At 38.1% G+C, this 16343-nt stretch overlaps 2 pseudogenes, besides 1 other annotated feature; one reads left to right on the forward strand and one right to left on the reverse strand.

Annotated features, from left to right (window-relative positions):
• Positions 700-1223, reverse strand: MTND6P2 (MT-ND6 pseudogene 2; annotated as a pseudogene).
• On the forward strand, positions 1297-2429 carry MTCYBP37 (MT-CYB pseudogene 37; annotated as a pseudogene).
• Positions 9360-9533: a silencer, noted in NCBI's record as "fragment chr5:8627353-8627526 (GRCh37/hg19 assembly coordinates)". NCBI's record gives its function as "represses an EF-1alpha promoter that drives an FKBP-Casp9 reporter gene in an ReSE screen in phorbol 12-myristate 13-acetate-treated (for megakaryocytic differentiation) K562 erythroleukemia cells {active_cell/tissue: K562(+PMA)}" and the evidence as "EXISTENCE:reporter gene assay evidence [ECO:0000049][PMID:32094911]".

A 16343-nucleotide genomic window follows, 5' to 3' on the forward strand; every position in this document is an offset into this window, starting at 1 on the left:
GAGAATGTGTTTTCTTGTTTCAGCTATAAATTGGACCCAAGCACAATGTTTAAGGGCCAATGTATGTTTTTATAACAACTCCACAAATATAAATTCTGCATGCTAGTGTGTCACACTGGCTTCAAGGGAAATAGTAGCATTCAATAACTTTGGGATATGTTCTTTATAAAAATTGCTCTTCATTGTGAACATTTCTATTAATTTGGCCTCATGTTCATTACATCCAGGGTATTTTTCTCAGACGCTGGCTGCCTAGATGAATTTTGTTAGGCAGATACAGAATCAAAACAGGCTAAACAATACTGCAGGAACTTATGCTACAGGAGATGTTTCTGTACATAGTTACCCAGACTTCAGTCATGGCTCATGTGGGCTCTAGTAATAAAAGTAAGAGTTTTACAAGTGAGCATCTGCTACATACCTCCTGGGTGGGAGTAACTCACACTGTCACAAGGAGTCACATTCGTGACCGTCACTGGCTGGATCTCATGGCATCCTTTGATATTATTGTAGTCTACATTGAGGAAATATTTAAGAACATATTTTGTCTGAATATTAAAACCATTTTGAAACTGGAGGTTTTGTATTAAAGAACCATCCAATATTTTGTTTCATTAGATAGAAAATTATCATCAATGAAATATTCACTAAACTGGAGCTCGAATTCCTACTTGAAACCTGGGACAATTATTATCTAATCTATTATCCTAAGTAATTTCAATTGCAACGTAAATACTAAAAAATAATGATCAACCAGCAACTACCACTAATCAGCACCCATAACTGTACAAGGCAGCCACACCCAGAGAATCTTCACGCAATAACCCTGCCCCCTCACCCTCAAAAATCATCCAACTCTCTATGCTATTAAAAGCAATCGTGATCCCCACTCCATCGTGCTCAATTAATCACAGAACCAGCATCAACTCCATTAACAGTCCTAATAAGAAATCTCCTCAGATGTCAATATTTAACCCTTATGTTTCAGAATACTCCTCAGTTTCCATCGTCATAGTATAGCCAAAAACAACCATCATACCACCCAAATAAACCACACAGACTATCAACCCCATGAAAGCCCCACCAAAATTCAACACAATACCACAACCCACAGCACCACTAGTAATAAGCCCTTGACCTCCATAAATAGGAGAAGGTTTCGAAGAGAAACCTACAAACCCTATAGTCAAAAAGACACTTAATAAAAATATAGTATATGCCATTATTCCCACACGGACTATAACCATGACTAATGACATGAAAAGTCATTTCTGTATTTCAACTATAAGAACCCTAATGGCCAATATCTGCAAAACATACCCGCTAATAAAAATTATTAATTACTCATTTATTGATCTTCCCACACCATTTAACATTTCTATATGATGAAACTTCGGCTCACTTCTTGGTGCTTGCCTAACCCTCCAGATCATCACTGGACTGTTTTTGGCCATGCACTACACATCAGACACCTCAACTTCCTTCTCTTCAGTTGCTCATATTAGCCGAGATGTAAACTACGGCTGAATGGTCTGCTATTTTCATGCTAATGGCGCTTCCATATTTTTCATCTGCCTCTTCTTACACATTGGCTGAGGTTTATACTATGGATCATTTACATTTCTAGAAACCTGAAATATCGGCATTATCCTCCTACTCACAACTATGGCAACAGCATTCATAGGCTACGTGCTCCCATAAGGCCAGATATCTTTCTGAGGCACTACAGTAGTTACAAATCTACTATCAGTGATTTCATATATTGGAACTGACCTTGGGCATTGAATCTGAGGTGGATTCTCAGTTGGCAAAGCCACCCTTACATGATTCTTTGCTTTCCATTTCATCTTACCCTTCATCATTACAGCCCTAGCAGCTGTTCACCTTTTACTCCTACATGAAACAGGATCTAATAACCCTTTAGGGGTTTCATCAGACCCAGGCAAAATTACCTTCCACCCCTACCACACAATCAAAGATATTTTAGGTTTAATTTTTCTCCTCCTCCTTCGAATAACTCTAGTACTATTTTCGCCTGACCTCCTGGGTGACCCAGATAACTACGCTTTAGCCAACCCCCTCAGTACCCAACCCCACATTAAACCAGAGTGGTACTTTTTGTTTGCACAGGCAATCTTACCATCCATCCCTCACAAACTAGGAGGCATACTGGCCCTTGTATTCTCCATTCTCATTCTAACAGTTATTCCCATGCTTCACACGTCTAAACAACAAAGCATAATATTCCGACTGTTGAGTAAATGGCTATTCTGAATCTTAGTGGCCAACCTATTTACACTCACATGAATTGGAGGGCAGCCAGTCAAACACCCTTTTATTGTCGTCGGACAGATGGCATCTATTATGTACTTCTCTACCATTCTCACCCCTATACTACTCACCGGCCTAATTGAAAATAAGCTACTTAAATGAAGGTGCCCTTGTAGTATAATTTAATACTCTGGTCTTATAAACCAGAAGTGGAGACTCCCCTCCCCAGGAAATCTCAGGGAAAATGCGTCCCGCTTCACTGTCAACACTCAAAGCTGAAATTCTAATTAAGCTATTCACTGAATTCTTTCTTGCACATACTTTGACTACCACGTCACTACTAATCAATTAGCACTATTACATTAGTGCTTGTATGTACTTCCTGCATTACTGCTAGTCCCCATAAATAATATATAGTACTATAATTGCTTGATTGTACATAGTACATTCATACATAACAATACATTATAAATCTAGCTCACATACATATAAGCACGTATTAGGAATTTCTTAATCAACTGTCATAAATCTAGTATTACCGACTGTACACCTAAATATAATCCACATGGATATTGACCCGTACTATAAATACTTAATATTACATAGTACATACATTCGTTCATCAGACACAGAACATTTTAGTCAAGACGTCCCTCGTCAACATGGATATCCACTGTCAATTTTTGGTCTCTTAATCTACTAAACTCCAAGAAATCATCATCCCACTCGGGAGTACTACTCTCCTCGCTCCGGGCCCATGACACTTGGGGGTGACTATACTGAAACTATACCTGGCATCTGGTTCTTACTTCAGGGCCATAGAACTAAGATCGCCCACACGTTCCCCTTAAATAAGACATGTCGATGGGCTAATGACTACCACACTATTAACCAGTCACAGGAGCACCATCATGCAGTTGGTATTTATAACTTCGGGGGATGCTATCACAGCATCGCGGACGGCCTGGTCCCTGACCAATCCTCTGTGGACGAATTCGGATTTGATTCCTGCCAAATCAATTGTAGAAGCTGAGCTTGTATTGAATATTCCAGGCTGGCATAATAACCATAAGGTGTTAATTAATTCATGCTTGAAAGACATAAGAATTAATCAATAGATGCTCACACATACAGGCATGCTCAATTTCAAGAACTATTTCCAATTAAATCCGCAAATTCCCCTTTCCCCAATCTGTGACTTTACCGTCAACCTAGGTAAACGTACCCTTGCCAAACCCCAAAAACAAGAGACTAAACAGTAATCCAGTCAGAGCTCAAAAATTATATTTTAACCACAAATACCCCAATAGCTACCCCTCGATTTAGGTAATTTTCTAAAAAATTCTAAGACCCTCCTACCAAATAAATCCTCCTTTGTGTAATAAATATAACTAAATATCTGCCCTAATACTAATATAATATCTTGAGCATATTCCTCTGAAAGCACTGCCCCAATATATCATACCCTAAATAAACCATATTCTAATTATAAGAAATCCTCTCAGCCAAACCTCTGCCAATTCGACTTCAAAGACCCTGAATTCCCAGAACTGTTAATAACTATACTTATTTCTTTCTTTCTTATATTTTAATTTTCCACTTAAGAATTCTATGCAGTTCTTTGGGAGACCGAGGCGGGCAGATCACGAGGTCAGGAGAGCGAGACCATCCTGGCTAACATGGTGAAACCCTGTCTCTACTAAAAATACAAAAAATTAGCTGGGCATGGTGACAGGCGCCTGTAGTCCCAGCTACTCGGGAGGCTGAGGCAGGAGAATGGCGTGAACCCAGGAGGCGGAGGTTGCAGTGAGCCGAGATCGCGCCACAGCACTCCAGCCTGGGCGACAGAGCGAGACTCCGATTAAAAAACAAAACAACAACAACAAAAAACAGACAAACAAAAAAAGAATTCTATGCAGTTAATACAGTTATTCATTCAGAGCAAGGCACTGAAAATGTCTAGATGGGTCCACACAACCCTATAAACAAATAGGTTTGGTCGTGGCCTTTTTATTAACTCGTAGGATTACACATGCATGCATCCCCACCCCAGTGAAAATGTCCTCTAGATCACCCGGATCAAAAGGAGCAGGTATCAAGCACGCACAAATGCAACTCAAAACGCTTTGCTCAACCACACCCCCACAGCAAACAGCAGTGATAAATCTTTAGCAATAAAAGAAAGTTTGACTAAGTCATACTAATATTTAGGGTTGGTTAATTTCATGCCAGCCACCGCAGCCATACAGTTAACACGAGCTAATAAAACTCAGTGTAAAGAGTGTTTAAGGTCTACCCTCAATAAAGCTAAGTTCCATCTAAGTTGTAAAAAACTCCAGCTGAAGTAAAATGTACTACGAAAGTGGCTTTAATATCCTGAAGACACAATAGCTAAGACCCAAACTGGGATTAGATACCCCAGGCTGAGATTCTTTGTACAGATGCAACGAATTAAGTGAGATAAGCTCAAGGGTTAACTTTAAATTAAAATGTGAAATTAGCTAAATTTTTCCAAGCTGACTTTTTAGTGTTGAACTATCACTGGCCCTATGATAATCAGAATGAGTTACTCACAAAGAATTGTCATAAATTATGCAGAAGAAAAATAACCATAATTTTGATTAAAAACAGATGTTTAAACCTTTATAAACAAAGCATATATTTTGTGGTACAGAAAGTCATAATATCTATTCAATATCTTGCTAATAGCTGAACTTAAAAAGAATAATGGCTCAGGCTATTTAATTTTTCCCTATGAAATTCTAACAGTGTCTCTGTAGATATAAAGCCTATTTTGGTTTCTTTTACGTTATAAAAATATTATATGGCATTTTCTTTTTTTCCAGAATTCAGATATTTTGCAACAATTTTGACAAAATGCTTTCCCAGCTAAGGAGAAAAGAAAGCAGGCATAGAAAAAAACAATTACCGAGAGTTTTATCCTGCGGGAGAGAACTGAAGAAAAATATTGAGCTGTATGTTTTTCAGATTTTCAAAGTTTTTCAAAGGTGATAGCACCTCTGTAAACACAGGCCACGAACATTTCACCTGCCGTTGTTCAAAAGGTGAATGTAATGTACAATCATACAGAAAATGATCTCTTTTACTCTTCATCTGAGATCCATAAGGGAGATTGTATTAAAATTACTGAATGTATCTCACATTGAAAAAACAGCTAGTAAGAACCAGTTCTGTCATGGCAAAGTAATGACCTTCCAATATCTACTCCTTCACATAAGCAATAAGAAAACTAGCAAAGATGATTGTAATTGATATGTTCAAATTACTAAAATCAGGAATGAAAGAGGAAACATTACTACTGACTTTCAAATCTTTTTAAAGAAGATTTAAGGCAATATTTTGAATAGTTGTAGGCCAAGAAACTTGATAATAGAGATGAAATGAACAAATTCCTAGAAAGACACTATGGTACACAGATAATTACGCCCAAAGATATGTCCACGTTTTAATATCACCTTATATGGTAAAGTTTATGCAGATATAATTAAGAACTTTAAGATGAGGAGATCATCCTTAATTATCCCAATGCGTACTAAATGCCATGGAAAACGTCTTTATGAGAGGCGGAAAGGGGTCACACACACATAGATTACCAAAGTAGGAGATGTGAAGACAGAAGCAGTGACTGGAGTGATGTGGCCATAAGCCAATGGATGCCAACAGCCACCAATAATTTGGCAAACACTCTGGTAATGCCACAAAAAGTTATACATACAGTTACAGTATAACAGATCAATTCCACTCTCAGTTCTATATACGAGATCATTGAAAACAGCCCATACACAATCTTGTACACAAATTTTCATAGCATTATTCACAATAGTCTAAAAATGGAAACAATCCAAATTATAAACTGATAAACAGATAAGCGAAATATGGTACATACATGCAATAAAACGTTATTCACCCACAAAAAGCAATGAAGTACCTATATATGCGACTACAGGGGTATACCTTTAAAACATTCTGCTAAATAAAAGAAGTCAGACACAGTAGGTCACAGTTTGTATGATTCCCGTTATATAGAATGTCTAGAAAAGGCAATTCTATACAGAAAAAAGCAATTAGTGTTAAGGAGTGGGAGGGAGGGGCAAAGGAAGACTGCCAATGGGTAAGCAGTTTCTTTAAGTGGTAATAAAAATATTCTGAAATTAATGGTGATGGGTGCAAAACCTTGTGAATACATAAACCAGTGATACCCCATATAAACCAGTGATACCAGTGTACCCAATAAGTAATTTTTCAACCCTCATCCTCCCCCAATTTTTCCTTTCTTTTTGGACTTCCCAATGTCTATTATTTCTATCTTTACATCCATGTGTATCCACTGTTTAGCTCCCACTTATACATGGGGACATGCCATATTTGATTTTCTGCTTCTCAATTAGTCCACTTAGGATAATGGCCTCCAGTTCCATCCATGTTGCTGAAAAATATATGATTTCATTCTTTTTTATGAATAGTATATATGGCATAGTGTATATATACCATATTTTCTTTATTCGATTGACCATTAATGGACATATAGGTTGGGTCCATGACTTTGCTATTGTGAATAGTGCTGCAATAAACATAAAAATGTATATTCATTTTTATAGAATGATATTTTCCCTTGTATAGATACCCAGTAGTGCAACTGTTGGGTCCAATGGTAGTTCTATTTTTAATTATTTGAGATATCTCCATACTGCTGTCTATAGAGGTTGGACTGATTTACATTCCTACCAAGAGAGTATAAGTGTTTTCTCTGCACTTATGCCAACATCTGTTGTTTTTTGACATTTTAGTAATAGCCATTCCGACTGATCTAAGATGATATTTCAGTGTTGTTTTAATTTGTATTTCTTTGATGATTATTGATACTGAGCATTTTTTTCACATTTATTGACCACTTGCATTTCTTCTTTTGTATTTCTGTTCATGTCCTTTGACCAGTTTTTAATGGTGTTGTTTTTTATCTTGTTGAGTCATTTGAATTACTTGTAGATTCTGGATTTTAGTCCTTTGTCAGGGGCACAACTTGCAAATATTTTCTCCCATTCTGTAGATTGCCTGTTTATTCTGTTTATTATTTATTTTTCTGTGCAGAAGATTTTATGTTTAATCAAATCTCACTTGCCTATTTTTGTTTTCATAGCATTTGCTTTAGAGGTCTTTTATTATAAATTATGTGTTTAGGCTGATGTTCAGAATAATTTTTCCTAGGTTTTCTTCTAGGATTTTTATAGTTTCAGGTCTTATGTCTAGGTTGTTAATTCATCTCGAGTTCATTTTTGTAGATTGTGAAAGATAGGAATTTAGTCCAGAGGCATCACATTGCCTGACTTCAAATTATACTATAAGGCAATGATAACTGAAACAACATGGTACTCCTACAAAGACAGATAGGTTAATGGAACAGAATAGAGAACTCCAAAATAAAGCCACATACCCACAATCAACCGATCTTCTGTAAAGTAAAAAATAAACAATGGGGAAAGGACACCCTGTTCAATAAAATGTGCTGGGGATATCGGCTGGCTATATGCAGAAGGTTGACACTTCTTTAATTGAAGAAAACCTGTATTCTAGCCATGCTTCACAGTATAGAGTGAGCTGCCAGCTGCTACTGAGAAATTGTTGGAGTAAGAATTTCTTTTAACTTTATACATGTTCATAAAGTAGCTCACATTTTATTTTTGGGGTTTAACATTAAGTGTTGCTTTTTAAATGTTTCCTTTGGCATTTGAAATTTAATTTCCAAAGACAGAAATAAGGAAATTCACCTATACACAATGTGTAACTACAGACTAGGTTAGTGCAGTGTCTGAATGGGTAGTATCTGTGGAGATCTTTCTGGCTAAGTCCAGCTCAGGCACTTCCCAGCTGTGTAACCTTGGGAAAAATCATTTAACCTTTTAGGGATGGTTAATTATATGTGTCAATTTGACTAGGCCAGGTGGCACAGTTGTTTGGTCAAATACCATTCTAGATGTTACTGTGAAGTTATTTTCAGATGTGATTCCTAGACTTTGAGAAAGCGGATTACCCTCTGCAATATGGGTGGGCCTCATCCAATCAGCTGAAGGCCTTAAGAACAAAGGTTGCTGGAAGAAGAAGAAATTCTACCTCAAGACTGCAACATAGAAACTCTGCCTAATTTTCCAGACTGCTGCTCTGCAGATATTAGTCTCAAGACTGGAACATCAACCCTTTTCTGAATTTTCAGGCTGGGAGTGTGCCCTACAAATTTCAGACTTGCCAGCCCCCATAAACATATAAGCCAATTACTTTAATTCTCTCTCTCTCTCTCCCTCTGTGTGTGTGTGTGTGTGTGTGTGTGTGCACGCACATATAATTACTTGGAATAATACCTAGGATATAGTTAACACTAAAAATAAATTAGGATGTAAGCATATCTTTTGGGAGGCCACTATTCAACCTACTATACTCTGAAATTCAATTCGTTGTTTTTGTGTGTGTGCATATGAATGAGTTGAGTTCTCAGTAAAAATATTTGGATTTTTGTCATCTGAAGAGCATGTTTCTAACTTTAGCTTTTATCTACATGTATTTTTTGTTGTTATTCACATTGTCTTAATTTCCCAGATTTAAAAACAATCTGTCTTCTTGGGTAAAAATAGATGAATATCTATAGATTTCATACTCATTCGTTAACACAAGGGCAAATTTTTTCTCATTTAGAAACCCATCCCCTTGACTCCTATTCTGTTCTATAATAAATATATTTCTGAGACTGGCAATTCTCCAGTTCTCTTCCAAAGCTATTTAATTTTTTGGCTAAGGCATACAAAAGAGTTACAATAATTTGTTTATAAATTAGGGAATAAATTGGAAAGACAATAGTATGAGTATCAACTGCTGTGTTCAAGGACACCGGGATAGGGGCTCTATTTTTTCTTGTTAATGAGGATAAACTTTGGGGATCCCAAAAGATACCAATGTTAGCAAACCTTCTTCTAAATGAAGTGCAGGAGTGGTTTCTGGAAGTTCTTCTTCAGTGAAGACTGAAAACCTGAGTCAAAAACCCCCATGCTGCAGTGAGCTTGGAGATTCCCAGATATCCTCAAACCTTCCCCTGCTCCAAGAGTTTCATTGCTGAGTGCATCCCTCAGGGCCTCCAAGACCAGGCATAGCTGCCCTGCAATGTGGCATCTGCTTCTCCTCTCTGTGGCCACCTGATTTGAGACGACATTCTGTAATGCTTGACAATAAATCCATATGTGATCTGGGAAGAGGGAATCTCACTCACCCACTTTGCTTGTTTTAGTGTGATAGTCTCAAGTTAAATACAAGCAGCATGCATATACTTTTATAAAAACACTTGTCACAAAAACAATAGCAGAACAAGCTCAAATTGTTTCATTTTAATACATTGATGATGTTTTAGTCCATTGTACACTGCTACAAAGAAATACCTGAGACTGGGAAATTTATAAAGGAAAGATGTTTCATTGATTCACAGTTCCTCATTGCAGGGGAGGCCTCAGGAAACCTACAATCATGGTGACAGGCAAGGGAGAAGCAGGCACCTTTTTCACAGGGTGGTAGGATGGAGTGAGCGCAGAGTGAAGGGGGAAGCCCCTTATAAAACCATCAGATCTTGGGCCGGGAGCTGTGTCTCACACCTGTAATCCCAGGACTGTGGGAGGTCAAGGTGGGTGGATCACTGGAGGTCAGGAGTTCGAGACCAGACTGACCAACATGGTGAAACCCCATCTCTAGTAAAAATACAAAATTAGCTCAGCATGATGGTGCATGCCTGTAATCCCAGCTACTTGGGAGGCTGAGGCAGGAGAATCGCTTGAACCTGGGAGGCAGAGATTGCAGTGAGCCAAGATCGCGCCATTGCACTCCAGCCTGGGTGACAAGAGTGAAACTCCATTTCAAAACAAAAACAAACAAACAGTAAAACACAAAAAAAACCCATCAGATCTTGTAAGAACTCACTATCATAAGAACAGCATGGGAAAAGCTGCCTCCATAATTCAATTATCTCCACCTGTTCTCTCCCTTGACATGTGGAGATTATGGGGATTACAATTCAAGAGACATTTTGGGTGAGGATACAACAAAACCACATCAGACAAATATAATATTTTAGCAAAAATAAAGAATATCTTCTATAGCTGTGAAAATAATAGCAGTTATTATTGCAGAAATGGTGCATCATATGAAAGCTTTGAAAATTAAAGTGTATTCAAACAGTATCTTTCAAAAAGTGTGGACCATGCCATGCAAGCCAAGAACTTTATTAGAGCATGATTTTTTTGGGTAGATTCCTCAAAGATATTAATAATATTAGGCAATATGTTTCAAATGTTTTCTATTAAATTCCATTGGCTGTTTTCAGGTTAAGTGTGAGCACAAATATAATTTTCTCACAGAACCTGTAAGGTACATGGATGTGCTTTGGTCAAAGAATAGACTGAGGCAGGTATCCAGGTCTGCAGGGCTCAGCGAGTTTAGCGCACAGGCGCATGCTTCCACTTGTTATATAACCTGTTTGTGTAAGTTCATACTTGGCTCTGAGCCATTACTGTCTGTAAAAGGTATAATTGCCCTGCTAACACTGTATAGGGCCTCTTGGGGCTCAGCTTGACTCAACGTGGCTGGACATGTCTCTTGTGCAGGTGCTCTTGCATCCAGAGAAAGAGAGAAAGCCAAATTTGTCCGTCTTTGCAGACAGACAGAGGGGAGCCAGGACACAGCTCAGCTTGCTTGTGCCCAGACAGGTAAAGAGTTAAGCTGCTGACCCTGAAGGCAAGGGGAGCCGGCTGTGCAGCTGTGTGTGGAAGCTGGACTAAGCAGCTGAGACAGGGCAGTGCGAGAAAGCTGTTGATGAGAGCTGCTGCTGCTGAATAAAATCACCTTTCACCTGCCCACGGCTCCCTGGCTGTTCTTTCTGCTCATCCACCCACTCCCTTCGGACCTCAGCATGACATTTGGCATAGTCCTGAAACTGACAGAACCAAAACACATTTAAAAAAAAAATCAAATGTAACATTTTATGTTGACGTTTTCAAAGGGTGAATGTCATCAATGAAACAAATTCAAAATCTCTGTTAACGTGTTTAAAATTTGATTTTAAATAGTGATGAAATTGAAACATGAAGTTTCTACTGTAGGTTCAAAACAGTAAAGAATACTGTGGAACTTAGACTGACTGTTTAAAATATTGAGCACTTAAGCACTGAACATCTAATATTTTTAGAAGGATTCTGTTAAATATTCTGTTAAATTATGAAGCATACAAATCTCAAATCTTAGGCATAATTTGCATTCATGTGATCTCTTATGGATAGCTGATATGAATATAATTCGGCATAAATATATTTAAAGGGTATTTGCAATACACTGGCAATTCCCTGGATTTTCTATATAAAAGTTGAAAATTTATACACTCTATGACCCAGCAATTATATTCATGGAAGTGTAGCTCATCTTTCTAGGAGTTGAGAATATTCAAGTGGCTGTTCATAAGAGCAAACTTGGGACAATTCAGATATCGACAGGATAATGGATTCACACTGTAGAATATTAAACAGTCCTGAAAAGAAATTTGCTACAGCTATAAGCAATGGTGTGAATTAAATGTTGTACCAATATTGAGGAAAGAAAACAGAAATATAGAAAGACTACACATAATAGTCTTGTAATAAAATTAATGATACTGAAACTAAATGATATTCTTTGAGGCATACACCAGGTGACCAAACACAGATTTATCTTATTTTACGTTTAGATTGAGGGGTTGGTGTATTGGTGTGTTCTCACACTGCTATACTAATAAAGAAGACAGAAGAATCAAATAGACGCAATAAAAAATGATAAAGGGGATATCAACACCGATCCCACAGAAATACAAACTACCATCAGAGAATACTATAAACACCACTACGCAAATAAACTGGAAAATCCAGAAGAAATGGATAAATACACACTCCCAAGACTAAACCAGGAAGAAGTTGAATCACTGAATAGATCAATAACAGACTCTGATATTGAGGCAATAATTAATAGCCTAAAAAACAAAAAATGTCCAGGATCAGATGGATTCACAATCGAATTCTACCAGGGGTAAAAAGGGAAGCTGGTACCATTCCTTCTGAAACCATTCCAATAAATAGAAAAAGAGGGAATCCTCCCTAACTCATTTTATGAGGCCAGCATCATCCTCTTACCAAAACCTGGCAGAGACACAACAAAAAAAGAGAATTTTACACCAATATCCCTGATGAACATCGATGCGAAAATCCTCAATAAAATACTGGCAAACCAAATCCAGCAGCACATCAAAAAGCTTATCCACGAAGATCAAGTTGGCTTCATCCCTGGGATGCAAGGCTGGTTCAACACAAGCAAATCAATAAGCGTAATCCATCACATAAACAGAACCAAAGACAAAAACCACATGATTATCTCAATAGATGCAGGAAAGGCTTTGACAAAATTCAACAATCCTTCACACTAAAAACTCTCAATAAACTAGGTATTGATGGAACATATCTCAAAATAATATGAGCTATTTATGATAAACCCACAGCCAGTATCATACTGAACAGGCAAAAACTGGAAGCATTCCCGCTGAAAACTGGCACAAGACAGGGATGCCCTCTCTCACCACTCCTATTCAACATAGTGTTGGAAGTTCTGGCCAGGGCAATCATGCAAGAGAAAGAAATAAAGGGTATTCAGTTAGGAAAACAGGAAGTCAAATTGTCCCTGTTTGCAGAGGACATTATTATATATTTAGAAAACCCCATCGTCTCAGCCCAAAATTTCCTTAAGCTGATAGGCAACTTCAGCAAAGTCTCAGGATACAAAATCAATATGCAAAAATCACAAGCATTCCCATACACCAATAACAGACAAACAGGCAAATCATGAGTGAACTCCAATTCACAATTGCTAAAAAGAGAATAAAATACCTAGGAATCCAACTTACAAGGGATGTGAAGGACCTCTTCAAGGAGAACTACAAACCACTGCTCAATGAAATAAAAGAGGACACAAACAAATGGAAGAAAATTTCATGCTCATCAATAGGATGAATCAATACCATGAAAATGGTCATACTGCCCAAGGTAATTTACAGATTCAATGTCATCCCCATCAAGCTACCAATGACTTTCTTCACAGAATTGGAAAAAACTACTTGAAAGTTCACATAGAACCAAAAAACAGCCCACATTGCCAAGACAATCCTAATCAAAAAGAACAAAGCTGGAGGCATCATGCTACCTGACTTCAAACTATACTACAAGGCAACAGTAACCAACACAGCATGGTACTGGTACCAAAATAGAGATATAGACCAATGGAACAGAACAGAGGCCTCAGAAATAACACCACACATCTACAACCATCTGATCTTTGACAAACCTGACAAAAACAAGAAGTGGGGAAAGGATTCCCTATTTAGTAAATGGTGCTGGGAAAACTGGCTAGTCATATGTAGAAAGCTGAAACTGGATCCCTTCCTTACACCTTATACAAACATTAATTCAGGAGGGATTAAAGACTTAAATGTTAGACCTAAAATCATAAAAACTCTAGAGGAAAACCTAGGCAATACCATTCAGGACATAGGCATGGGCAAGGACTTCATGACTAAAACACCAAAAGCAATGGCAACAGAAGCCAAAATTGACAAATGGGATCTAATTAAACTAAAGAGCTTCTCCACAGCAAAAGAAACTACCATCAGAGTGAAGAGGCAACCTACAGAATGGGAGAAAATTTTTTCGATCTACACATCTGACAAAGGGCTAATATCCAAAATCTACAAAGAATTTAAACAAATTTACAAGAAAAAATCAAACAATCCCATCAAAAAGTGGGCAAAGGATATGAACAGACACTTCTCAAAAGAAGACAGTTATGCAGCCAACAGACACATGAAAAAATGCTCATCATCACTGGTCATCAGATAAATGCAAATCAAAACCACAATGAGATATCATCTCACACCAGTTAGAATGGCGATCATTAAAAAGTCAGGAAACAACAGGTGCTAGAGAGGATGTGGAGAAGTAGGAACGCTTTTACACTGTTGGTGGGAGTGTAAACTAGTTCAGCCATTGTGGAAGACAGTGTGGCAATTCCTCAAGGATCTAGAACTAGAAATACCATTTGGCCCAGCAATCCCATTACTGGGTATATACCCAATGATTTATAAATCATGCTACTACAAAGACACATGCACACGTGTGTTTATTGCAGCACTATTCACAATAGCAAAGACTTGGAACCAACCCAAATGTCCATCAATAATAGACTGGATTAAGAAAATGTGGCACATATACACCATAGAATACTCTGCAGCTATAAAAAAGGATGAGCCATAAAAAAGGTCCCTTTGTAGGGACATGGATGAAGCTGGAAATGATCGTTCTCAGCAAACTGTCGCAAGGACAGAAAACCAAACACCACATGTTCTCAGTCATAGGTGGGAATTGAACAATGAGAACACTTGGACACAGGAAGGGGAACATCACACACTGGGGCCTGTCATGCAGTAGGGGAATGCGGGAGGGATAGCATTAGGAGAAATACCTAATGTAAATGACGAGTTAATGGGTGCAGCAAACCAATACGTCACATGTACACATATGTAACAAACCTGCACATTGTGCACATGTACCCTAGAACTTAATGTATTAAAAAAAAAAAAGAAATACCTGAGAATGGGTACCTTAAAAGGAACATAGGTTTAATTGGCTCAGCGTTCTCCAGGCTGTACAGAAGGCATGACAGCATCTGCTCAGCTACTGGAGAGGCCTCAGGTAACTTTCAATCATAGTTGAAGGAAAAGGGGAAGCAGGCACATCTTACATGGTTGGAGGAGGAGGATGAAGGGGGGTGGGGGATGCATGACACAGGCTTTTAAACAACCAGATCTCATGAGAACTCACTCACTAAACAGCACCAAGGGAGGATGGTGCTAACCCATTCATGAGAACTCTGTCCCCATCATCCAATCACCTCCCACCAGGCCCCACTTCCAACACTAGGGATTACAATTCGACTTGTGACTTGGGCAGGGACACACACCCAAATAATAAATTAGGGGCTATGTTTGCAGTTTTATTATAGGCATATATTGCATGATGCTGAGAGTTAGGCTTCTGTTGATCACGTCACCCAGATAGTGAACACAGTACTCACTAAGAAGTTTTTCAGCCCTCCCCCACTTCCTTCCCCTTCTTCCTTCTTTTGAAGTCCCCAGTGTCTACTGTTTCCATCTTTGTGTCCCTGTATACTCAAGGTTTAGCTCCCACTGGAACATGCAATATTTTGTTGGCGGTTTCTGTGTTAATTCACTTAGGATAATGGCCTCCAGATGTATCCATGTTGCTGAAAAGGGTAAGGGCATGATTTCATTCTTTCTAATGGCTGTGCAGTATTTCATGGTGTATATGTGCCACATTGTCTTTATCCAATCTACCATTGATGAGCACCTAGCTTGATTCCTTCTCTTTGCTATTGTGAATAGTGCTGCAATAAACATATCAGTCGTATCAGTCCACTGGTCTTTTCGGTAGAACTGTTTTTTTTCTTTGAGCATATCCCCTGTAATAGGATTGCTGAGTGAAATGGTGCTTCTATTTTTCCTTCTTTGAGAAAGCTCCAAACTGCTTTCCACATTGGCTGAACTGATTTACATTCCCACCAACTGTGTATAAGCATTTCCTTTTCTTCACAGCCTTGCCAACATCTGTTATTTTTTAACTTTTAAACAAAAGCCATTCTGACTGGAGTGAGATGGTATCTCATTGTGGTTTTGATTTGCGTTTCTCTGATGATTAATGATACTGAACATTTTTTCATATGCTCTTTGGGAACTTACAGGTCTTCTCAGAAGTGTCAGTTCCTGTTCTTTGCCCACTCTTTAATAGAGTTATTTGTTTTATTCTTGTTAAGTTGTTTTAGTGCCTTATAGATTCTGGAAATTAGACCTTTGTTAGATGCATAGTTTGCAAATATTATCTCCCATTCTGTAAGTTGTCTGTTTATTCTGATGATAATTTCTTTATATACAGAGCGTT

This window comes from Homo sapiens, chromosome 5, assembly GCF_000001405.40.
Source record: "Homo sapiens chromosome 5, GRCh38.p14 Primary Assembly".
NCBI lineage: Eukaryota > Metazoa > Chordata > Mammalia > Primates > Hominidae > Homo > Homo sapiens.